The following is a 1,963-nucleotide window of genomic DNA, read 5'->3' as shown; positions in this document are numbered from 1 at the left end:
AATAGTGCCACATTTTTTAATGTTTATGAATCCTAATATTTATATCACAGCTTCAAAATGTGCATTTGTAGAACAAAAGAGAACATCACACAATCTGGCATAAACTTATATTATTTTTCAGAAAATAAATCTAAAAATCTGGCCAAAATAATACCTTCAATTTGATTATGTAAAGAGAGAGAGAAAAATGCTTTTTAAAAAAACCTTATAGTTATTATGAAAGACTCTCAGGAATGTGATTTTTTAGAGATTATTTAGAATTTCTTAACATAAATAAACACACATGCCATTATAATCACAATATTTTATTGACATGTCACATTATGACAAAATAAGATACAAAGAACAACCTCTCCCTCTCTAAATACATGTCTGTAGGGGAGGAAAAATATCTGATATCTTTTGGCTGTGTCCCCACCCAAATCTCCTCTTAAATTGTAGCTCCCATAATTCCCATGTCATGGGAGGGACCCAGTGGAAGGTAATTAAATCATGGGGGCGGGTCTTTCTTGTGCTGGTCTTATGATAGGAATAAGTCTCAGGAGATCTGATGGCTTTATAAAGGGGAGTTCTCCTGCACACACCTCTTGCCTACCACTATGCAAGACGTGACTTTGCTCCTCATTCACCTTCCGCCATGACTATGAGGCCTCCCCAGCCATGTAGAACTGTGAGTTAATTAAACCTCTTTCCTTTATAAATTACCCAGTCTTGGGTATGTTGTTATTAGCAGGGTGAAAACAGACTAATATAATATCTTTCTCATTTACTCTTCTAAGTTCTCAGCTGGGCCCCTGTAACAAAAAACAGATTTATAAGAGAAAATCATATAAATTTATAATATAGCTTCACTTGACACGCGGCCTTCATAAGGAAGTGAAGAATAAGTGTTTTAAATGCTAGATTTGATCAAGAGTGGAGAGTTGTGGAGAAATGTGATAGGACAAGGTATGAGCTATAGTAAACCAGGGGAAACAGCCAGGCCTGTGTGTTCAGATTTCTACTGGTGTCTCTTCCTCTTTGAAGACAAGGTTGCTCCATTCCTTCAGGTGGAAGGAGGATACCTTTCACATAAGGGTCTTATGACCCACTTCAGGGGAAGGTCAGAAAGTTATTTCTGCACATGTGGTTTCTCAAATGCTTCAGTTTAAAACAGTCAATATGCCAAGGTGCCATATTTTGGGGTAACATGTCCTGAATGCCATGTATAAATGTCATACCAAGAAATTTTTGCAAAAGTCTTCTCTAATAACAAAAAATTCAAAGATACCCTTGTCATTGCTTTCCCTGGTCCTTTCTCTTCTGACTTCATCTTATTGCTCAACCAGCCATTTTATTTTCAGTTCTAAAATGTACATTTTGTCTGCAGAGTTTTTGTTGGTTTTTTGTTTTTGCTTTGACTTTCTGTTAACTGTATTTGGGCAATTGTGTAAAGCAAGACACTTGGTTATGAGAAGTCCCCTGTTGTGTTGACTCTGGGACACCAGAGTCACATTGTTCTGTGGCCCTAACCAGGCCTTTGGGTTTCCTGTTGGCCACCCCACTGATGTTTTGGGGTTTTCAGCATTGGCCAGCCCCCAGATACTTGAAGATTTCTGACATTTGGTGTGGGGAACCCCACTGGTTGATACTCAGCTACTCCAGCTTTTCAGCATTTGGTATTGGCTGCCCGCTGGATGCTCCGGGGTTTTCAGCATTGGAATTCCCCTAGGGGAATCTTGGTCTTGCCTTTTCTTGCTTTCTGCCCTAAATATATCACTTTCCATAACAGGATTTTCTTATTGTCAGTTTATTTACACTTTTCATTCTACACTTTGCTTGATAAAAATACTTTTTTGTCATGCTTTGTTCATTGGCAAATATAATCCACTTTCATAATGTCTTGCTTTCTATACTTTCACCTTCTCTGCAGTTAGTAAGAATCTAAAAAGGAAAAGTTGCAAGAGCCCAGTTGCTTTTACTC

At 38.0% G+C, this 1,963-nt stretch overlaps 1 annotated feature.

Annotated features, from left to right (window-relative positions):
* Window positions 1,455-1,504: an enhancer, noted in NCBI's record as "active region_26213". NCBI's record gives its function as "activates an Ori minimal core promoter by ATAC-STARR-seq in GM12878 lymphoblastoid cells {active_cell/tissue: GM12878}" and the evidence as "EXISTENCE:reporter gene assay evidence [ECO:0000049][PMID:35858748]".

The sequence above is a fragment of the Homo sapiens genome, chromosome 7 (genome assembly GCF_000001405.40).
Source record: "Homo sapiens chromosome 7, GRCh38.p14 Primary Assembly".
Lineage (NCBI taxonomy): Eukaryota > Metazoa > Chordata > Mammalia > Primates > Hominidae > Homo > Homo sapiens.
Note: the sequence above shows the minus strand (reverse complement) of the source record. Positions and strands in the feature narration are given on the sequence as shown.